The sequence below is a fragment of the Homo sapiens genome, chromosome 10 (assembly GCF_000001405.40).
Source record: "Homo sapiens chromosome 10, GRCh38.p14 Primary Assembly".
NCBI classification, from domain to species: domain Eukaryota; kingdom Metazoa; phylum Chordata; class Mammalia; order Primates; family Hominidae; genus Homo; species Homo sapiens.
In genome coordinates, this window is record NC_000010.11 from 105,326,250 (window position 1) to 105,348,216 (window position 21,967).

The following is a 21,967-nucleotide window of genomic DNA, read 5'->3' on the forward strand; positions in this document are numbered from 1 at the left end:
AGTAACAAAGAAATCTCTCCCAGGAAAACTTCTTTTTTTTTTTTTTTGGCATCTCTGATTATTTAGAATAGAGGAGCATCTACCTTCTCTGATGTGCCAGCATTTTTTTTTTTTTAGAATTGAGCCACTGATTGCAACACAGACTAGTTAGACCTAACATTTCCAGGAGTCCTAATAATGGTTGGTATTAATGCACTTCCACAATACCAATCCTCAAAATCAGAAGGTGTTTTGTGTTTCTTCCTTTATTTTTTAAAACTTGTGTTAAAAAACAAATAATGTAAAATTTACCGTCTTAACGATTTTAAAGTGCATCTCAGTAGCATTACCTATATGCACATTCTCATGCAGCAGATCTCTAGAACTTTTTCATCTTGCAAAACTGAAACTCTATCCCTACTGGACAATGATTTTTCTCTTCTTCCTCTTCCTGGTCTTTTGCTCTCTTTGAAAAAGTTGGCCACCATGTTGTGAAAGGGCCCTGAGAAGCTCATCTGGCAATGAATTGCAGCTGGCTTCCAGAGGAACTAAGCATGGCTGACACATTGATTGAAGCCCTGTTTTGTATGTCATGTGTTATTTTAAGCCACCAAGTTTGCATTAATTTGTTATGCAGCCATAAAAAACAAATACATCTTTAGAGTGAGACTTAGAAACTGTGAGAATATCCTGTTCCCATCAATGTTTTATCTAACAATTTTATTATCATCTTATTCTTTTTACATTATTGTTGAAAGAATTAAATTATTCCATGTTGGTATAATAATCACCTCCAAGATGGTAAATGAGCTTTTTCCCCTTTATTATTATTATTACTAATGAGTTTTATTTAATAAATATATTACAAACAATTATAGCCACTTTCTTGCTTCACATAGCTTTTGAAATATCATTTATTTTGACAAATAAAATTTGTTTACCTAAGTTGTAAATGAAGTAATGGGTCTTGTACTAATGGACCTTTAATAGAAGGGATAATGTGCATTTTATGTTATTTAGCAACCTCAGTATTCTGGGCTTTGATTTTGCAGGCCCTCTCCAAATGAAGGTTGACTTCTAGCAGATTCAGCTACAAATCTGGCCTTTTTGCATTTGTTAATTCACATCTTAGTTTTTGAGAACCTTTGAGTAATTCCTACGAGATCACCTAGAGCCAATAGATCAGTATTTCTTTAAGCAAGTATTTCTTGCAGCAAAGACTCTCCCATACAGTTTCATGAGGTGTTATGACTCCATTTTAAAACACACAGTAAGGCATTGGTAACTGGCTTCTTAGCACTAAACTTTCCGGTGCTTTCTTCTCTTGCAAGAGCCTCATTCTGAGCTTTAGTTCTGATCTGAGTGGGAATGTTGGCTCCATGTTTTCTGTAGAGTTTTCCTTGGACTTCTTGAAATACAGGCCCCTGAAAACGCACTCTCCTCTGTTTTCTGTGAAATTGATGAACTAGGAATCCTTGTGAATCCTACCCAAGTAACTTCTTCAGGCAGGAAAAGGCAGAAGCTCTGGACTTCCCTGGAAAGTACACAATTTGGCATTTGCTTGAGGAATAGAAAACACCATGAATCATTAATGGTCAAAATGCAATAGGCAATTTTGCACCAAACACAATTAGTATGTGTCTTGAGAACCAAGCCTACCCTATTGGTAAACCAAGAAAATGTTCACAGTCTCAGGGACAGTAGAAACTCAACACACTAAGAGTCCAGAAGAGAGATGGCTGCTCCAAAGGGATCTGGGAAATTCTTATAGAAGAAAGAAAAACATATACTATCATTGCAAAATGCATAGTCATTGAGAAAATGAAAAAGAAGGTTCCTGTGAAGTTCAAGAGATTTGTACTTTTTTTTTTTTTTTTTCAGTGAAAAGAGGCTTAGAGACTCAAACAGCTCAGTAATGCTTCTGCTGTTGGTTACTGCATCTAAGACAGGGTAAGTAGAAATAGTCCTGGGCTGTGACCTAGGGGATCTGAATTCCAGCTTTGAGTTCCTATCCCTAGTTTTGTATTCATCTCTTTAAAGAATACTGTTATTTTTTTCTTCCACCATTTATTTTCATTGCTACATGGAAATTATTTTGCTACATTTATCAAAATGGTGAATCAAACACTTAGAATTTTCTGTAGAATAACCGAGTATTAGAACTAGAGGAGGTCTAATAAATCTATGAGTCAAGGACCTAGTTCCCGTGGGTGTTTAATAGAAAATGGATGAAGCAGCCTGGGTTTATTTTATAGTGGGGACTTAAATTATATTACTTTCCTGCCTACATATACACATGGAAGAGAGTCCTTTATTTCCAGAAAGACATATGTTCTCTCTCACTTTTCTTGAAACATATGGTCACTCAGTCCTTCTTTGGTTTACTTTCTTTGAATAGAGTGCTGGGACAAGAGCCAAAACACTTTCCACTTAACAGTATCATAAGAGAAACAAAAGAAAGAATGCTGTATTAAATGATCACTGGCATGCATCCTCAGGGTCCAAAGACAATAGAGGCATGGGACTATGATAAACAGAACAAAGGAAAACTAAAAGGGGGCAACCTCTTCTAAACTCAGCAAGTTGTTGCATAGAATTGTAAATCTCTTAAGATAAAGCTAGAACTCCAAAAATTAATGTGAAAATGCCAGATTTTTAAATGTTGGCCATAATTTTAGTTTTTAAAGACAATAGCTACTACTGTGCAAACTGGATCCCATCCAAGGCCAATGCTATTCAGACTGGATCCTATCCAAGGGCAACTAGCTAGCAATTTGATTTTGTTTACAGATCATTTTCCCATTTCTGAAATTTAAATGTGCTAAATCTAGTTAACTATAAAACCTAGAACAGAGCTTTCTTTTCCAAACCCTCAGATTAGGGAAACATATACGAGAAATTCTCCCTCAAAAGAGACAACGTAAAATGTGTTCCCCATGAAGTCTAAATCTTGTTATATGACTTGTTCTTCTATTTCTTTTTTCTGAGAGATAATCTGGTTGATCATGGAGCAAAGCTTTTATTCCATTTTTGAACTTTAATGCTGGTTAAAAAATAATAATTCATCTTTAAGGCATGGATTATGGTGGTGAATATTTAAAGTCTTATAAATCCACCGTGAAACAGAGATTCCGAAGTCAATGAAAATGGATAGCAAAACTGAAATGTTTACAATTTCCCTTTGGAAAAATGATCAAAGAGGACACTTCTCTCCCCAATCCTTCTTTCCCTTTTGCCTTAGTTCAGAATTCCTCATTTTTCTAAATAGAAGCAATTATGGATATTTATAAGGGGGCTGTCAGTCTTCTTAAAATTCTCCCCAATCTAAGGATTTTTCATGATGAAGCATACTAGATGAGAGGTCTCACATACGGTCCGTAGGGAAGACTGATCATCATTGACTGTTTCCCCTCACATTTCTCATCTAGCTCAAAGGACACATTAACTTTTTTGCTTCTTTCCGACATACTAATCAGTAAATGATTCATAGCTTACTTTCATTCAGGTCTTGGCTTAAATTTTTTAAAATATATATACATACACAAATAATATAAACATACATTTATATAAATATATATAATACTTAATATTATATATAGCTATTTTTCTAATATATAGACCATGTCAGTGTGTCTATTTAATATGCTCGGCTTTTATTAAACCAGTAAATATTTCTCAAGTACCATTGTGTGTTTTGGTGGGTGTGGAGAACACATAAGCACAGAATATTTCTTATTTAGTTAAACATGGCGTCATACAAACTTATAATCTCTCTGGGAACTGAAATAATTAGAAAATACAACAGAAGAGAATGTAATTATATAAGCTGACTTTTGAGGCATTTATGTAACTTCTGTAAACCATCATTTTAGAACAGCTGTCCCAACACACCCCATGACTACTCTGTCTACCAAAAGGGAGGAACAGAGGCAGCCATGTGTACGGGCCACGAGTGGATAACTGGCCCAAGATGAGCCAGTAACATTTTCTCTCCTTGAAATTTGGAAGTGTGCTTGCTTCAACAGTGGTTATATATACTTGGGAGTCATAGAGCATTATCCTTCAGCATGGGCATGAAGAAGAGAGGAGAATAAAGCAGATGAGAAAACAGAAGTGGAGTGCTTTCAGAATTGTTTCTGAAATCTTTTCCATTCTGGTTTTAGTTTTTTGCCAAGCCCGGCAGAATTCCTTGTCCTTGGTCTTTGTGAGACAGTCACTTTATCTTAAACACATAAACACAAATACATACCTCTTTATTTGCTTAAACTTCTTTGAAATCAGTTCTTTGCTTGCCACCAAAAAGAAGTGAGGCAGGAATTACATGATATACTTATTTTTCAGACCATGAAGACTATAGAATATGGTTGTAGGTGTTCATAAATAAAGACTGGATTTGAGAGTCTTCAGGACCTTGGCCTTCAAAAAAAAATATATGTGTATATATATATATATATATATATATATATATGAGTGTGTTAAAAAGAAGTGAAAATAAGCCAGGAAAGAAAATGGCATCAACCCAACATTTGTATAGTGATTTGTGGCTTAGTGGCTTACAAAAAAACTAAGTTCTCGTACTATCCTCAATGGCTCAAAATAATTATTCCCATTCTATGGAGCAGAAAACTGTGGCTCAAGGATGTTGAGACTCTCCTTGCATCATAGCTGCCTCTTTGCAGGGTCCAGCACAAAGAGAAAAGTCAACGTACAGTAAGCAAATGTATAGCTTAATGTGGAATCATGGACTTTATTATTTCTTTGCAGGGGATTAGATGATCATGCTCAAGGATTTATTAACTGCAGTCAGGTGGATGCAAGCAATGTACAAAATAGCAAAGGAAGATTTGTTTTAATTCCGTAATACAGGTCTATTTGTAAACTAATTAAATAACCAAGTAGTTGAAGTGGCAAATGTAGAGAATTGTGTTTTCAACTGATGCAAGATCTTAGGTGCAGAAATCAAGTTTTATATTTATTTTCTTATTTTATAAAAAAAGAAAATGTATTATTACAAGGCAGCATAGTTTAAGTGCTAAGCAATGAAGCTGAAGACAACAGTTAAAAAAAAAAGATACCTTACTTCAGACAAAGATAGATCTTTCAGTACACACAACTATAAGGGTAAATTTGTTTCTGCCCAGAAAACGTTTTCAAAATGGCATAAACCTGCCCATTTCACATGATTAGCTCTCTCCTTATGACCATCTGTAATGCAGACTTAGCGAGCAAGTGTTTGCACCCGTGCTGGGAACCCAAATGTTCACTTACTCACCTTGTTTTCTATAAGGAACAAATAAACATCTGTGTGCATGACAGAATGCAGAGCCTTTTCTGGCTATGTGGCTTTGGCTCTGGGCACCCACATGAGCTTTTTGGGAGCTTATTTTTTGATGCCTGGACTCCCATTTGCTTCAACCAGACATTTGCCCATTTATTTGAAACACAAGAGAAGAATATAGAATGTGTCTGGTTATGTTTGAACAATGCAGAGCATAAAGTGGGTACTGAAGTATTCCGTGAGAGAGAGTTTAATCCAAAAAGAGAAGGAAAAACAGAAGAGAGGAGAAAAGACAAAAATAAAAACAAAAACACAAAAGACACAAGAAGGAATCAGTGAGGAACTATTATGAGATTTATATTGTCTTGCAAATAGCAAACATAAACTGAGAGCCCAGGAGTTTGGTGATTATTACTCTCAAAATAAAATAACGAAAAACCTAACTCCTTACTAGAAACTCAGTTTCTCTGTGTGTGTGTGTTTGTGTGTGTGTGTGTGTGCATGTGTGTATGTGTGTTTGAAACAAGGCTAAGGCCATGAAGCTGCAGAGGCTTTGATTGTGGGAGATACATGGTAACATTAAGTAATAATGCTCAAAGATCTCATCATCCTGGCTAGATGTGGCTGAGAAATGAAATAAGGCCAAGAATGATAGAGAATCTAGAGTGAGGAAATCTCTGCTTACTGGACAAAGATAAGATTTCTGGACATGGTAGAGTCTGAATTGGAAACATTTTTCTATGAGGATATTTTTCTAAACCAAACTCTACATATTTGAACTTAAGAGATTAATGAACATTAGAATACAAAATTAAATGAGATTAAAAGAAAGTATGAAATTAAGGGTCACACAGGACATATGACACAGTCTTACTACGAAACATCTCTCAGTCAAAATTATTTTGTTTTCTGTAGGCTTGTGGTGCCTTGCACTTATGCCACAAATAGCACAATCTGTAGTAAATTCAGACAGAAAAGAAACTGATATTTGTTGAAAGACCATGGTATGCCATGTACGTTCCTATATTGTCTTTTTTAAGATACTCATAAAACAGGATATCTGGAATATTAGCCTTATTTTTCCTGCTTTGCAGAGAAGGCAATTGAGGTACAAGAAGTTAAGTAACTTTTTAATTAGTAATTTACGGTGTCAAGATTTGAATTCACATTCATCCATTTACATTTCTCTGCATGGTTCTGCCTATGCATAAACATCTGGAAGGAGGCATTAGTATCTTTCTGGACTTAAATGACCTACTCTACTGAGTAAATGCTCACTAAGTCTGATTAAATTGACCATGGTCAACACATAGCAATTAGGTGTTTCATTTTATAAGGTGAAGATGCAAATAATAACCTTTAGAAGCTTTATTCGAATTGTAATACAGCAATGAACTTCAGACTATCCTCAGCTTATTTTATGGGCAGTCCCTAAAAGTTCACAAGAGAAATAATTATTCAGAACTTCTTAATCTTTACGTCAAGAATAGACTTGCCTTACAGATAGTAGAATGGGCAGCCTTGCCTCTTTCTTAGTCACTTTGATGAGTTCTGAAATGTCTACATGTCTCAAATTCTATCCCTTCCTATTTGGCCCTAACACCAATAGCATGCTTAAAATTTCTACTCGTGGAGCTAATTTCTTGTGTAAAATTATAGTCATTCAAAGACTTCAGTTAAATCACTCATCTGCACTAGGGATAAATAAGACATAAGCCTCCATTTTATAGTAACACACACACATCAAAAAATTAATTTACCCTAAAGAAGATCAGGGGAATTCTACATGCAGATTTGGAAGGGAGATGAGTTAAAGGGTTAGACACCAAAGGGTTAGGGAACCTCATAATCTTGCCCAAGGGTGGTTCTGAATTAGAAGCACATTTACCATGTGTGAATGATGTAACTAAGTAGAATGTAAATCAATGTGACTTTAATATAAATGGTGTTCTTTGCCTCCTATGTAATGCTGTCAAGAGTGCTAGACATGGCAACTCTCCAGGGCTTGCAGAACTCTCCAGAAGACCTGCAGGGTTTCTAAGTCATCTTTGGCATGGGAGTCCATGGGGAAATAAAGCTTTTGGTGGTAAATAAGGACAGAGCCCCTGAATGTTTCAGTGTTCAGCAAGTCTTAGTGACTGATGTTCCAGCAAAAGTCCTAAGCAAAACAAACAAACAAACAAAACAACAACAACAACAACAGAAAACATTGTGGAAGTTGTGGGAGAGAATAAAGGAAGAGATAGGAGGTCCCTGGACTTTAAGAATGACACAATCTAACAATGGAGAGGGTGTGTATGACAGAGAGAGAGAGAGAGGAAAAGAGGAAGAGAGAATAATATGAATGAATGAATGAATGAAAAATATTGGGACATTGTTTTAAGGTTACAAAATTCTTTTATGGTTTTTCATCAAATTTTCATAAAGACTGTAAGAGAGAAATATTATTAAAGCAGGAAACCAAGCCCATAGAAGGTAAATTTCCCCAAGAGAAATTAGAAAGGAATAGCCTGAAATAAACTTTCCCCTTCTAGGTTCCCCATCTCATGTCTTCAGGTAGATTATGCTCTCTTCTGCAAAGAATACAGAATACAGGACATTCTACAATTTAGGTGCTACATTATGTCACATGAGATATAGAAAAGTACTGGAGCAGTCAAGCCTGGCTTCCTAGAAAAAGTTGGGTTTGAGGTAACCTATGCAGAAAAGGTGGGGAGGGGAAGTGGTTGAGAGTGGGGTTTTGAGATCTGACATCCTGAGTTTGAACTTCATTACCGCCACTTTTCAGTGGCAGTGATGTGATCTTGGCAAGTTAAGTCACTTGTAACATTTTACTACCTCGGGTGTCTCACCTGCAAAATGTGGATGATTCTTGTGAGCATAAATGGATTAAGATTTGTAAAGTGTTTTGAACGGTCCCTGCAAATTGCAAACTCTCAGGACTGTAAAGGGTGCATCAACTCTAGGAGGGAGGTGTTTGTTTATCCAGCCACCCAGTCTTTTAGAATTGATTGAAAATCTCCATGAAGGCGGAAAGGCACTGTCCATGATACTTCAATGAATGACTCAATCTCTCAATCTAGGCTTTGCGTGCCAATCACAGAGCAATGCGGAGCTATGTTGTTACCACCTGAACTCACTGAGATCAATCTTAGCATCACTAAAAGTGAGACGGACACTATGTGCTGCCTGGTGGGAGGCAATCTGAACGGTGCCACCTGTGAAACATTCTTACCAAAATTACATAACCTGAATCTAATTTACAGTCTACAGTCCATGTAGAAACCACAAGAGATGGGGGATAGGTAAATGATGCACAAGTAAATAATTAGTCAAGTTAAGAATGGGGAACTTTCTACAAGACAACTAACCCAGTTTATACAACAAATAACAAATGTGAAAAAAGAGAAGTGAGGGTGTGCTTTAGATTAAAAGTGGCTGAAAAAGACTTAGAACAACCAAAGGTAATGATGGACTTTTTCCTTACACATCAATTAAATAAATCACTTGTAAAAGACATTTTATAGACAATCATGGACAACCATAGATATTAGATAATTTAAAAAAATACTGTTATTGCTATTAGATTTGAAAATGACCTTGTAGTTATGTAATAATACCTTTCTTTTTGAAAAAAGAAAGCTTTGCATGAAGGATTATTTTTTCTTTTTTACTTTTTACTCAAGAAACTAATTTGACAAAAGTGAAACGGAGTGATATAGGATTTCAGAGGATTTCGAAGTAGTTGGGGCTATTTTAGAATTAAGCTTTCCCTGTCCTTTCCTCAAGATCCCAGAAAATGCCCACTGAGTATCCTGGGCCTTTATAGGAGCCAGCATCTAATCTGTGACCTCATTTTATTTCAGAATCTTAAATGCTTCACCTGTACAGACGAGCTTATCTCAATGTAGGAGCCAGAAGAAAGATAAAGAAAAGTGAGAGAAAGACTAGTAGGTAACAGGAGGAATGAGAAGAATGAGTGGAGAAGTGGGGAGACAAAAAATAAATCAAGATAAATAGCATAAATGAATGTGGACAAAGATTGAAGGAAAGAGAAATATAAGAAGACAAGAGGAGGAGAAATTGAGGTTAAAATAAAGGTGAGGGCACAGAATCTGAGAGCTTCAGAATACTTCAGATTACAACGTTCTAACATTTACTCTTTGCTGGGGAAAGTAAGCAGAGTTTATCAAGAAGGGGCATATAACATACAGAGGACCATAAAAGCAAATTATGGACAAGTGGCATGCACCACTATAGCTATTGTATTTATTTAACACTCGTAACAATACTATGAATATACTATCAAGTGTATATTATTATTTTCTGTTATTTAATTTTTAGTTAATTAAAACAGTTTATGTTGATGTAAAAGTAACACATGTACAAGGTAGAAAATGCAAACACAACTAAAAGGTTTTCTTTGAAAAGCATGCTGCTCTCCTATCCCATCCCCATTCTCTAGTCTCCCAGTTTCACCATCCAGAGGTCACTGCTATTGCCAATTTCTTGCCATCAATATGCATGATTTTTTTTTTACAGAAAAGGTAGTATGGCATACAAATTGTTCCAAATTTTGCCTTAAAACACCACCACCGGCCGGGCGCGGTGGCTCACGCCTGTAATCCCAGCACTTTGGGAGGCAGAGGTGGGCGGATCATGAGGTCAGGAGATCGAGACCATCCTGGCTAACACAGTGAAACCCCGCCTCTACTAAAAATACAAAAAATTAGCCGGGCGTGGTGGCGGGCGCCTGTAGTCCCAGCTACTCGGGAGGCTGAGGCAGGAGAATGGCGTGAACCCAGGAGGCGGAGCTTGCAGTGAGCCGAGATCGCGCCACTGCACTCCAGCCTGGGCGACAGAGCGAGACTCCGTCTCAAAAAAAAAAAAAAAACACCACCACCAAGAATAACCCATAAACATGTACAGCTAGTATATATCTATAATAAATTAAAAATTTAAACACATCCGTAACATTTGACCCCTCAATTCCTCCTCTAGGTTTCTATTCCTAAGTAATATTCTCAGAAAATAAATACAAATACACATAAAAATTACTGAATTTTTTTATAGTCAATCACTGAAAATAATCTAAATGTCTTTCAATAGGACACTGGATCAATCAACTATGTTACATCCATCCAATGGAATGCTTCATAACTGTTAGAAAGAATAAAACAGATCGGAAATGTTTTATTCCTGCAATCAGAAAACTAAAGCATAGGGTGTTTAAATAACTTGCCTAAGGTCGTACAACTAGTTAGTGGAGGTTTAGGATTCAAACCCAGGTAGTCTGCCTCCAGAAGCTGCACTCTGATCTATTGCACCACCACTGCCATAGGGTCTCTAGGACAAAGTACTAGCCTATAATTAGACTATGTAATATACTGTGATTTAAATGTTGCATGTTTACATTTGCATTTATAACTAGACTTCTCACTATCCTTGCTTTCATGAGCAATCAAATTGTATGCTATTTCAACCTACCTAGGACAAGGCAGAATGTGGGTATATAATGTGATCATAATGGATAACCCAAGTCCCGTTCCTTCAGCAGTCCAAGAGGAGACACAACTACCACATGCATAGAACTGTGGAATGCCACTGCTAAAATGGATTCGGATAATACTTAGTCTAACATACTATTTTGTCAAATGAGGAAACTAAGTATGAGGTACTAAAGTGATTTACTCAAGTCTGCATGGCAAGTAATCATACAAATTGGATGATAGTCCATATTTTCTGACTTTGAATGCAAAGACTTTTCCCCACAGAGCAGAGTTGGGTATTGTGTTAGTCTCTTTTCACACTGATATAAAGAACAATCTGAGACTGGATAATTTACAAAGGAAAGAGGTTTAACTTACTCACAGTTCCACATGGCTGGGGAGGTCTCAGGAAACTTACAGTCATGGCAGAAGGTGAAGTAGAAGCAAGGCACGTCTTACATGGAGGCTGGAGAAAGAAAGTATAGGGCAAATCACCTCTTTTAAACCATCAGATCTCATGAGGACTCACTCACTATCATAGAACAGCATGGAGGAAACTGTTCCCATGATTCAATAGCTTCTCCCCAGGTCCCTCCCTCAACACATGGGGATTATAATTTGAGATGAATTTTGGGTGGGGAAACAACTCCAAACCATCTCAGGTATCTTAGCTATATCCTAAGCATTACTCTTAACAAGGACCATACAATCCAGTCATTCCACTTCTGGGTATGTACCCAGAAGAATTGAAAGAAGGGCCTTGAGGAAATATTTGTACACCCATGTTCATAGCAGCATTATTCACAATAGCCAAAAGGTAGAATCAACCCGTGTATCCATCAATGGATAAATGAATAAACAAAATGTTTTATGTCCATACAATGAAATATCACCAAGCCTTAAAAAGTAGAGAAACTCTGACACAGGTTACAACCTGAATGAACCTTGAGGACAGTAAGCTAAGTAAAAGAAGCCCATCATAAAAGGGAAAATATTGTGATTCCACTTTCATGAGGTACCTAGAATAGTCAAATTTATAGACAGAAAGTGGAATAGTGATTGCCAGGGATGTTGGCAAATGGTACATGGGGAGTGCTTTAATGGGTATAGCATTTCGGTTTTAAAGATGGAAAGAGTTCTGTGGATGGATGGTTGTGATGGTAACACAGCATTGTGAATATACTTAATGCCAATGAACAGTACATTTAAAAATGGCTAACGTGGCAGATTTTATGTTATGTATATTTTGCCACAATCAAAAAATAGATAAATAAATACAGCCAAGGAACAACAATAAAAAAGAAGTAAAGGCACTTTGGTACATTTCAGAAGTCAAGGCAGATTCAACCACAAGAATTTCAGCTTTGTCCTCATATCTTACCTTGATCGCATTCGGTTGTATTACAGAAACAAATATTCTGTGTTGACAGAACTATAAAACATAATTCAATATCTGTGCACTGCATCCACCATTGGTCATTTCTATTATGAAAGGTACAATATCACTTTTAAAAATGTCTACAGGCCTTTGCAAGCATTGTTTCTTCTAGCCGGAAATCACCTCCTCCTCTTCTGAAGTGTGCCCCTGGGCATATGAAGGGCACACACAAGCATACACACAATACCATATTGCCTCCTTTCAAAGCTCCTATTTATCCCTCAAAAGCCTGCTCAGAATCTTCCAAATATTTTCGGAGAAGCCAGAAACCTTTGTGGTTACTCACCTCAGATAAAGACAATCTCAACTTTCCCTGTGTCTATTAATATTGCTCTTGTCTCAGTATATTTTCATTTATTTATTGGGATGCTTGCTTCAATAATTACACTGTGAACTTTTTCAGACTAGGTGCCCTCTTTCATCTATGTATTTCTAACATTTAGAACATTATACCTTATAGAAAATTCCTTAGCAAATTAATTAAGTGAATAATTGGAAGAAAAATTTCTGAGGCTGTGTATTGCATGTCTCTTTCGTGTCTGGCTCTCACACCCCTTAAAAGGCTTTTGCCCCCTGAATCAACCCATCAGTGTCAGTTAAAATTGTCTGTGACATCTAATAAACCAAATGTCTTGTTCTGTGTTCACACAGTGCTGCTTTCAAATATGTAAAAATGTCACGAAAGACAGCCCGCCCTTCTGGAAGAGGATGATTAAATGCATAATTAAAAATTGATGCAATTTTCTCCGATGCAACGTTATTTTGCTGTTTATCTTCCTGTAACATATAAATGGAGATGAACACAGAAAATGAATTGGGTTCCCAGTTCTTGGCACCCTCTTCCCTCTTCTCTGCTCTGGAGGGAGCAGAAACCTTGGTATCATTCTCCCCATGTTTGGAAAGAACCATGCAGTTACTGACTTGCAGAATCTCTCCTCAAATAAAACCATTATTCTGTACACATTTCATGGGGTATGAGGTTTCTAGACATGTATTGTGCTATTTGCAAGCCATACAGAGATGGACAAGCTTCATGATAGATAAAGCAGAAAGAACACAGGTTTTTTATTCCGATGCCTCTAATTTTTTGCCACATGTGTGTTTTTATACCTCGAAATTTGTAAATCAAATGTAGAGAAAACTAATCTTATAAAATAGAGTAAAGGAAGAATTGTTTAGACATAAATTTTTTTTTGTTTTGCTAAGTGACACTCCTTCTACAAGCACCCATGATTTCTTCTTCAATTTCAGGCTTTTACCTGTCAGTTTCTTTTAAAGGAGCTAATATATAATTTTTGCTCTTGGAAAACTATAAGCTGGGTAATAGGGAGGCATAGGTATAGAAAACAAGAATTATGACAAAATAAATTATTATATAAGGAAAAATAATATTGGTATTAATTAGTAAAGATTTGATCCTCATCCATAGTCTTCTGCCAGTGAGTGGTTTATTCATTGTCATGATGGGGCTTCTTTCTTTTCCTCCCTTCCTCCCTTCCTCCTTCCCTCCCTTCCTCCCCTCCCTCCCCTCTCCCTCCCTCCCCTTCTCCTCCCTCCCTCCTTCCCTCCCTTCCTTCCTTCCTTCCTTCCTTGTTAAGATACAAGCTATCGACTAATTAATCTTGTGCTGCTTTTAAAAGAAATTAAATTAAGTACATAAAATGATAGAAAATAAAGTAGAAGTTACATCTTAACATTAACTTCTAACTCCAAAACTTGTGACATTTTGTATGGCCACAGGAAATGCATATAATGCCTTCAAGCCTTACTTTCCTCCTCTGTCAACTATATTAATAATACCTGCCTTGCACACATTTTGAGTTTTGGTGAGAATTTTAGTCTGTGAGAGACAGATCCAAGGAAGCTATGATAGAATGGCTGTGATTAGAGAAAGGGATTCCTCTTGTGTAGGCTGGGGCCTCGAGACATGCTTCATGGGGAGGCCAGCAGGGGAATTAGGCTTTCTTGGTGGGTTAAGTTTAACAGAAGGTGAGGAGGAGATGGAGCATATTTCACAGGCCAGGAGAGTAACATAGAATACAACTGAAAATAGACAACCTGTGAGTATGTTTCGGAAAGAGTGAGTTTTTAAAAATTAAGAAAGCAATACTATATCTATTTGCATTTAAGTTTTTCTTCTCGTGCAGTAAAAAGAATAAGAAATAACTCAGCATAGCTGAAATGAAAGACTATTGGGCAGCCCTGTTATTGGTTCAACATATAAGGGCTGGGAGGGAGGAGGCTGGCGGGTGGAATAAATGCAATTAAACTGTCAGGAAAGCTCCGCTTACATTTGGCCTTTCAATACGTCCTTCCCTGTGCTGCCTCTCTCCGCAGCATTGATTGGGTATTGTTAACCTTTATCTATCTCTTGTTTACGTTTCTCTATTAGGGGCAAACATCAATACTAGGCTTTTAGAAAGGACAGAGGCAACCAACAAAGAGACATTGGGAAAAGGTCAAAAATTTCTGAGTTGAGGTGTGTTGCTGTTGGCTAGGCCTGGGGAAACACTCTGGCTGAGACAGCAAGGTCAACCCTCAGAGGCTGGCATCCCTGGCTCCTGACTTTGGGGAAGAAGAAATATAGGCAGTAATGAGCAGCACCTCTTCTGTCAGGGAAGCCAGAAGCAACACCCAGCCTAAAGGAGAGGGAAGCGAAGAGGCTTCCTTGGGGTGTATGTGTGGGTGTGAAGGCAGGGAGAGGCACAAAACAGATCACCAGATGGGCAATCTGCACGGGAGGAGGAAGGGAACGGTGACTCCACTGTCTGCCATGTTACCTGGGATGTTCTTTCTCCTCACCCCTGCTCTGCTCTGCAAGGCCAGAGTACAACTTTTCATTTCAGATGGAAGGAAACTGAAGCCATGAGAGGTTAAGCCACTTGCACAAGGCCCCACAGTGGCAAAGCTACTTTTGGGTTCCTTAGTTTTGCGAGTCCATATCTGCATCTGAGAAACATAAGAAATGCCTTTCCTTTGCAAAATCTGATATGTGCCATGAATCCCCAGATGTCATAAGAATTTGGCAGAATTTGTAGTAAGAAATTTTTTTTCTATTGTATATTACAAAAATAAAATGTGTATTTTAAGTACTAAATTATAACATTGTAATAATTATTATATTGAATGTGCTGCCTCCCTTCCCTCCTCCCATCACTCCTGTATTCGGGTTCACTATTCTGTAGTCCTATTATACAAAACAGTTGTGCCCTGGCCATATCTTAGCTGCGAGGTACAGTTAACCTCCCCAGGTTTCAGTTTCTGATTACTAATACTAATACTGCCCTAATACTAGTATTTAGAAGGTCATTCTCTTAGATTTTAGTGAATCATGGACTCATTCCCATTTCTATCTCACTTTAGACCCCACAGCCTTAATTATTTTGCTAAAGCACCTGCACGTTTGGGCTATAATATTTGTGCTGCCTTCTTGAAAGGATGCTTTCCAGCATAAGATGCAAAAATAAATAAGCATTGGGAGATCAGGTTTGTAATGGTGGCCAAATTTTTCTTCTCCACTGAGACCAGAAAAGAAGAAACAGGTCTCACAACAACTAAAGGGCTATGGACAGACCCATGTATGACTCAGCTGCCTGAGCATTGCCTGGCACAAAGTAGGAACAAAACTTGTGACAGTTCTTTAAAGGAGATGGAAAGCATCTTAGAGACCATGTAGCACCTTGTACCCACCCCATGACCCCCATGTTGAAGGTGGAGAGCCTGAAGCCCAGAGCCATGACCTGGAATGCCAAGGTCAGCTAGCTGAATACTGACAGAGGAGGGAAGGTTCTGATGCGTCTGTTCATGACTCCTGCTAATGCGCTACTTCTTTCAAACAGAGGATATGATATGTTTTGTGTGGCATTGTACTTTAAAACTAAAACATAACCTACCAAACAAAGGAAATACAAAAGACACAGAAAGCCCACCCGATTGTGAGCTGGGATAATGGTTCTTGTCCTGGGTTCATCAGCCGGTTTGGTATAAGAAAGCCACTCTGATCCTCATTTTCCTTATTTATGTAATGGAAGTATGACTTTCCCCTCGCTGACACATTATTTTGTTTTTAAATAATCGAATGTAATGAAAACATGTTTTAAAAAGAAAATGCTATATGCAAATTTTAAAGGCATTAACACAGCACTGCTCTGTCCCTGATAGAGGGATGACCTTGGACAAATCACTTTACTGGCTGCCACACTAGAAGATTTTAAACTTCTCTTCTTCTCATTCAACGTGGTTGGAAGAATGTGCCTTTGTTACCTCACCTTATGAGATGGTGCCTTTGCATGCTAAGCCTCTCCACAGCACTGGTCACACATGGCTACATCAGATGAGTCTCTCCAGGGTCTATTCTGCTAGGGCTAAGGCAGCCTCTTTACATACACATGGGTGTGGGAGAATACCACATTCAGCCTCTTCCAGGAAAGTCTGGATTTAATCAAGTCCATGCCTGTGTCCCATAAGTCTTTTACTGTCAGAGCACGAGGCCTGATCTTGGGTCAGGTCACGTTTACGGGTGTAGTGATAGTAGTGCTTGTGTGCTGGCCCTAGTCAAAGGAGGACCAGGTGTTTGGCTGCAGGAATAAACCAGGAATAGCCTTCCCTCCAGCCCTCACCTTATATAAGCAAAAATCCAAGTACGCCTCATAATTGTGTATTTCAAGTTGACGGGGGTGTGGTACAGCTTGATGACAGGTTTCTTCTTGATCAGAGGAGGAATAAAGGAGACTTCTTATGGGTATTCTTATTCACAATTAACTTTATACTTAAATGTCTTAAGGATAGATGGGTGAGGGGTGGTTGTGACTGCTGGATACCATAGAAAGTTCCAGCTTCTAAATGCTCCCTGAGCCCTGAAAAGCCATTTTTATATACCCATCCTCAGTTAAGGCACTGTCATTGATGAAAACACAAATATCTCTAAATGTGTTCGTCATTAGCTATTTTGTGCTAATGTGGCAATGAGATTGCCTTTTTCCCCCTACCTAGACAGCTAGCTGTCATTAGCTTCATGTTAAGAATAAGAAACATAGTAGATCTGATGACTATGAGAAAGAGCAACAGAGACGAACAGAAATGGAGCTCTGACTGAGAACTCTGGCACAGGCACAGGCATATCAATGGAGTGTCCTGGGCAACATTAGAAGAAAAGATGTTAACATTTTTATTCAAATTATATTAAGGGCCAAAAACCCAACTGGTTCTTCTTCCATCTATCTGTCCATCAATGCACTCATCCATCTAAACTATGCATCCATCCATCCACCCGTCCATCCACCCACCCATCCATCCATCCATCCATCCATCCATCCACCCACCCACCCATTCCATAGTTCTGAGTACTTATTAATTCCTATGCTGGTCTCTGAGAGTCTAATCTAGAAAGAGACAATTTCCCTTCCCTCAAGGAACTTAGACTCCTGGTTGAGATCGTAAGTATGCAGATAACAATATAAAACCTGGAAATAGCCACCAATGGGGTACATGGTACATGAGGGTACATGAGGAGTATGTCTTGCCTTGTAGCTGTGGGGAAGTCAGGGAAAGTCAAAGTCAAAATGCGTTATTTTGCTTAAACTTCATATGAGTCCTGCCTGGTAATTTTTTTTTTTTTTTGGGGATGGAGTTTCACTCTTGTTGCCCAGGCTGGAGTGCAATGGTGCAGTCTCAGCTCACTGCAACTTCTGCCTCCTGGGTTCAAGCGATTCTCCTGCCTCAGCCTCCAGAGTAGCTGGGATTACAGGTGCCCACCGCAATGCCCGGCTAATTTTTGTATTTTTAGTAGAGATGGGGTTTCACCATGTTGGTCAGGCTGATCTTGAACTCTTGATCTCAGGTGACCCACCCCCGTCGGCCTCCCCAAAGCACTGGGATTACAAGCATGAGCCACCACAACCTACCTGCCTGCTAAATTTTTTACCTAATTTTTATAAAGGAGGCAACCAAGTCCCAGAGAATGTAACATCTGTAATTATAGCGGCAAAATCAACCAGCCACCATGCGTTGATCACTAAACCCCTTCCTTGCACCTGTCAATGAAATATCTAAAGTCACAAAGCCAAAAAGGCAGAAAGTCTAGATTTGAATTCATGGTGTACCAGAATCTAAATGTATACTTGATCCTCTCATCCTCTACTGTGAGGAGAAGCGTGAAAGGGAACAGGTATGTGTGTAACTCATGGTAGGGAGGGTGAGGGTGGAGGCTGAACCAGAATAGGGAGTATCCACCATTACTCTTCAGCCTTAATGACAGTTGTAATGGAAAATATGTACATGGAGGACTAACCATCAGGCAGCTTTTGTGTAGTGTCTTTTAAACATAGAGCACAGCAAGCCCACATTTTCAAAAATGTCACAGATTCCCCAACCACCCTCATTCTGGCAAGAGGTTTGCTATTTTCCTTCATTTACAAAGTTGATTGGCTGGGGCTGGTTCCCTGCTCCTGCATCTTCTCAGTTGAAGAGCCCATGGCAACTGTCCTTTAAAAATCCTTGAGACAAGGATTAGAAAGAGTTGCAATTTCTATCCTTTACGCAGAAGACACTGACTCAATAAAGAGTTAAATAATGTTCACCTGTTCCATGTACTACCCTGGACTAGGTACAAAAGGCTCTATATTAATAAGGTTTTGCTGAGTTTAAGAGATTTTCCCAGACATTTTAGGAATTGAATTTCTCTCTTGGCTATCAGCAATCAAGTAGGAGGACAAAGAACACAGAATTGCTCTAAGAGGATTTGTGAGTCTTGAGAGAAGAAAGCCTGACCTCACTCCTCTCAGGGCTCCGAGGAAGTCCCATCTTTGTAAATATCCCCGCCCTGATTGGTGTGAAGGAAGTGGGGTCATTAAGTCAGTTCCTGCAGATAGTAGCTGTTGATTGCCATACTGGCATTTAGGTGGCTTACTGGCTGGTTTCAACTGTGTACTTGCTCCCCAAACCCTGCAGTTGGCCAAGGGTGCAGTTTTATAAATAGCAAATAAATAAACACAAGAATTTAATCCAGGAGAATGAACAAGCAGAGTTCAAGCTTCAGTGCAGGTTGCAGGAAGTGATAGAGGCGGCTGCAGATTTTCAGTGCTCTGACCCACCCTTATCATTACAGGCATACATAATGCTCAAGGCAGGGAAATGGGAGAAGCTCCATTCCATCCCTCCCTCATGCCCCCTTCTAACTTCTCCGTGATTTTATCTTGCTCAGCATTACGAATACTGCAAACAGCAAAGAAACAAGAATATGAGGTTTGTTTTGGCGCTCCTTGAGCCTGACAAAATCCCTTTATCTTGAGTGCATCTCATAATTGTTTTAAATCATGGGAGATAGATCTGAGGACAGGGGAATCAATTAAAGGTCAGGGTTGAGGTGTCTTCGTGAAATTATGGGAGACAAGCTCCTGCTACCCCTGCTTGCCTAACATGGTTAGGTAGAATGTTATCCTCAGCCCATACTGTCATCAAAAGTAACGTGATGGACAACATCAAATACAACACAGAAGCCTATTATAAGGGGTTAGTGTACAAATTCATGAGGCAAAGGGCAGAAAAGATATCATTCTGACTTTTATAGCATCCATCTCTCTGAATTCACAAAGTCAGCGTCTAATTAACAGAGGCAAGCTAGCTCATGAGAGGGAAAAATGCAATCACTAAGTCACAGTCATTTTGTGAAGCCATTTAGAGGTAGAGTTGTGCCTGTTTGAGAGGAAAGAAAGATACAAAGTTCGACAATTTGGTAAAAGAGAAAGGAACTGGCTGTTGAAAAGATAAACAATGAATGAAGGCTTCCTGCCTCCTGTTTCTCCTGATGGAACAAAAACATTGTGCCATAGGGTTAATACTGGATTCCTCCATGAATGCAGAATTAGAAAACAAAAAGCTTCTGGGGCTAAGTTGATGTTTGCAAAAATCATGAATATAAACACAATCAGATTCATAATGCATTGACTATATATAGTGCTTTTATTTTGAGAAGCTACATAAAGTCACCCAGGGTCTCTCCTTAATCCTTACTTTTCTCTCTCTCTCTCTCTTTTTTTTTTTTAATAAGGTGAATAGCAGAAATGGGGCAAAGAATTGAAGATCAAGCCTGTGGAAGTGTCTAGGGAATCAACACTGTCCCCACTTTCATAACAAAAATAACTTGATAGAATTTCAGCAAAGTGACCATTCTGAGTCTTGCAACTTTACCTATAACAGAGGAGACTCCTGTATTCATGCCTCAAAAAAAAAAATCATTTGTAGACTTCTTTCTGTCCCGTCATATTTTCTTTGAATTATAACAAAACAAATGGAATGAAAATATTGTTTTATAGACAATAAAATTCCAGCACTTTTTTAATGGATTATTACATATGTGAAGCATTTCTACAATAACCAATTGAAAATATTCCTCAAGTGCCCTTTGCCTAATAGGGAAATAACAAATATACATTCACCTTTTAAAGCTTTGGGGCTTTCCTTCCACCACTCCCTAAAATAAATTTTGTAACAACAATTTAAATAATTTGAACTGGTATATCCTAAGAGTTAAGATAAAAGGAAATAGGATTATTTAGCCTGAGGAAAGGAAAGGCCAGGGGAAGCTTTATACTGTAAATAATATGGGGAGAAAGATCTTACAGCATTAATGGGAATCGGCAATCCTTCATCCTCACTGAGCAAGCGATGAGAAGATTCTCTAGCTGCTATATAAGGGATTCAAATGGCCATAAGCTTTGCCACTACAGTTATTAATATTAAGATTCCCATTTCTCTCTGTTGTCTCTGCCACTTCATAAGTCCAAGCCCACATCATCTCTCTCCTGGATTGCATTCACCTGCTAACGAGCCTCCAGTTAGCACTTCCCCTTTTACAATTTATTCTCTAAACAGCAGTTGGAGTTGCCTTTTGAAAAGTCAAATATAGTCATTTCATTTCTTTCTCAAAAGCCTTCAAGCATCTGATTGTTTTCAGTGTTTGGGCCAAAATGTTGACTTGTAAATGGCCTGCAAGATCCGACTATGCCAACACCCTCTCCACCCATATCTAGTCCCCTTCTTCACCTTTTTCTCAGTGCTCTAACCATACTGGCATTCTTCCACTTCCTCAAGGATGTTACCTGCCTTCCTTTTTCAAGTTCTTCGTATCTGCTGTACTCTCTTGATACAATGCTCTTCCATCTACTTCTCAGCTAACCCACTGTGACTCATCCTTCATATTTCAGATAGATGTAATATACCCATTATATGCTCCCAGGACATTCTGCCTTTATCTTGCGTGATATTTATCATACTTGGAATTACTCATTGAATACCTCCTGTTTCATTACATGGATGCTCCCTGAGGGCATATTTGCCTTATTTAGCTCTATGTTGCCTTAGAATCTGGTTAGTTCCCTGTCTTATGGTAAGATTCCAATAATTATTTATTGAATCAAGAGGTGATTCTAGTAGGAGTTTATTAAATATTTGTGGAATAAGTGAATGGATTACAGTGGGATTGGCAGAGAATCCCCAAAAAAAGATCAGGTCAGTTGGATAGCCTACAAATATGTGAACTTGAGGTTGTTCCAGTCTGATTTGCAGAGCCATTTATTTCTCTACAAAATTCTGTGTATGGGATTAGAATTAGACTGGTTAATGTACAGGATTAATAATCAGCAAGTAAATGTATAGTGAAACTAGATAATTTCAGATTTGCTTGTTCAAAATTTATGATGATCCCAAAGTTTTCGCTATTTGTAAAAGGAAGCTTTTCTGAAGGATGTGGTTAATTGAGCTTTTTAATATACCACTGGTGGGAGT

General features: G+C 38.3%; 1 long non-coding RNA gene across 1 annotated transcript; it reads left to right on the forward strand.

Moving 5' to 3' along the window:
- Window positions 1–1,859: 1,859 nt before the first annotated feature.
- LOC105378466 (uncharacterized) lies at window positions 1,860–20,275 on the forward strand. The gene is made up of 3 exons (XR_946288.1): window positions 1,860–1,929; window positions 9,124–9,357; window positions 20,232–20,275. It is a non-coding gene; the product is annotated as an uncharacterized LOC105378466 (long non-coding RNA).
- The last annotated feature ends 1,692 nt before the right edge of the window (window positions 20,276–21,967 follow it).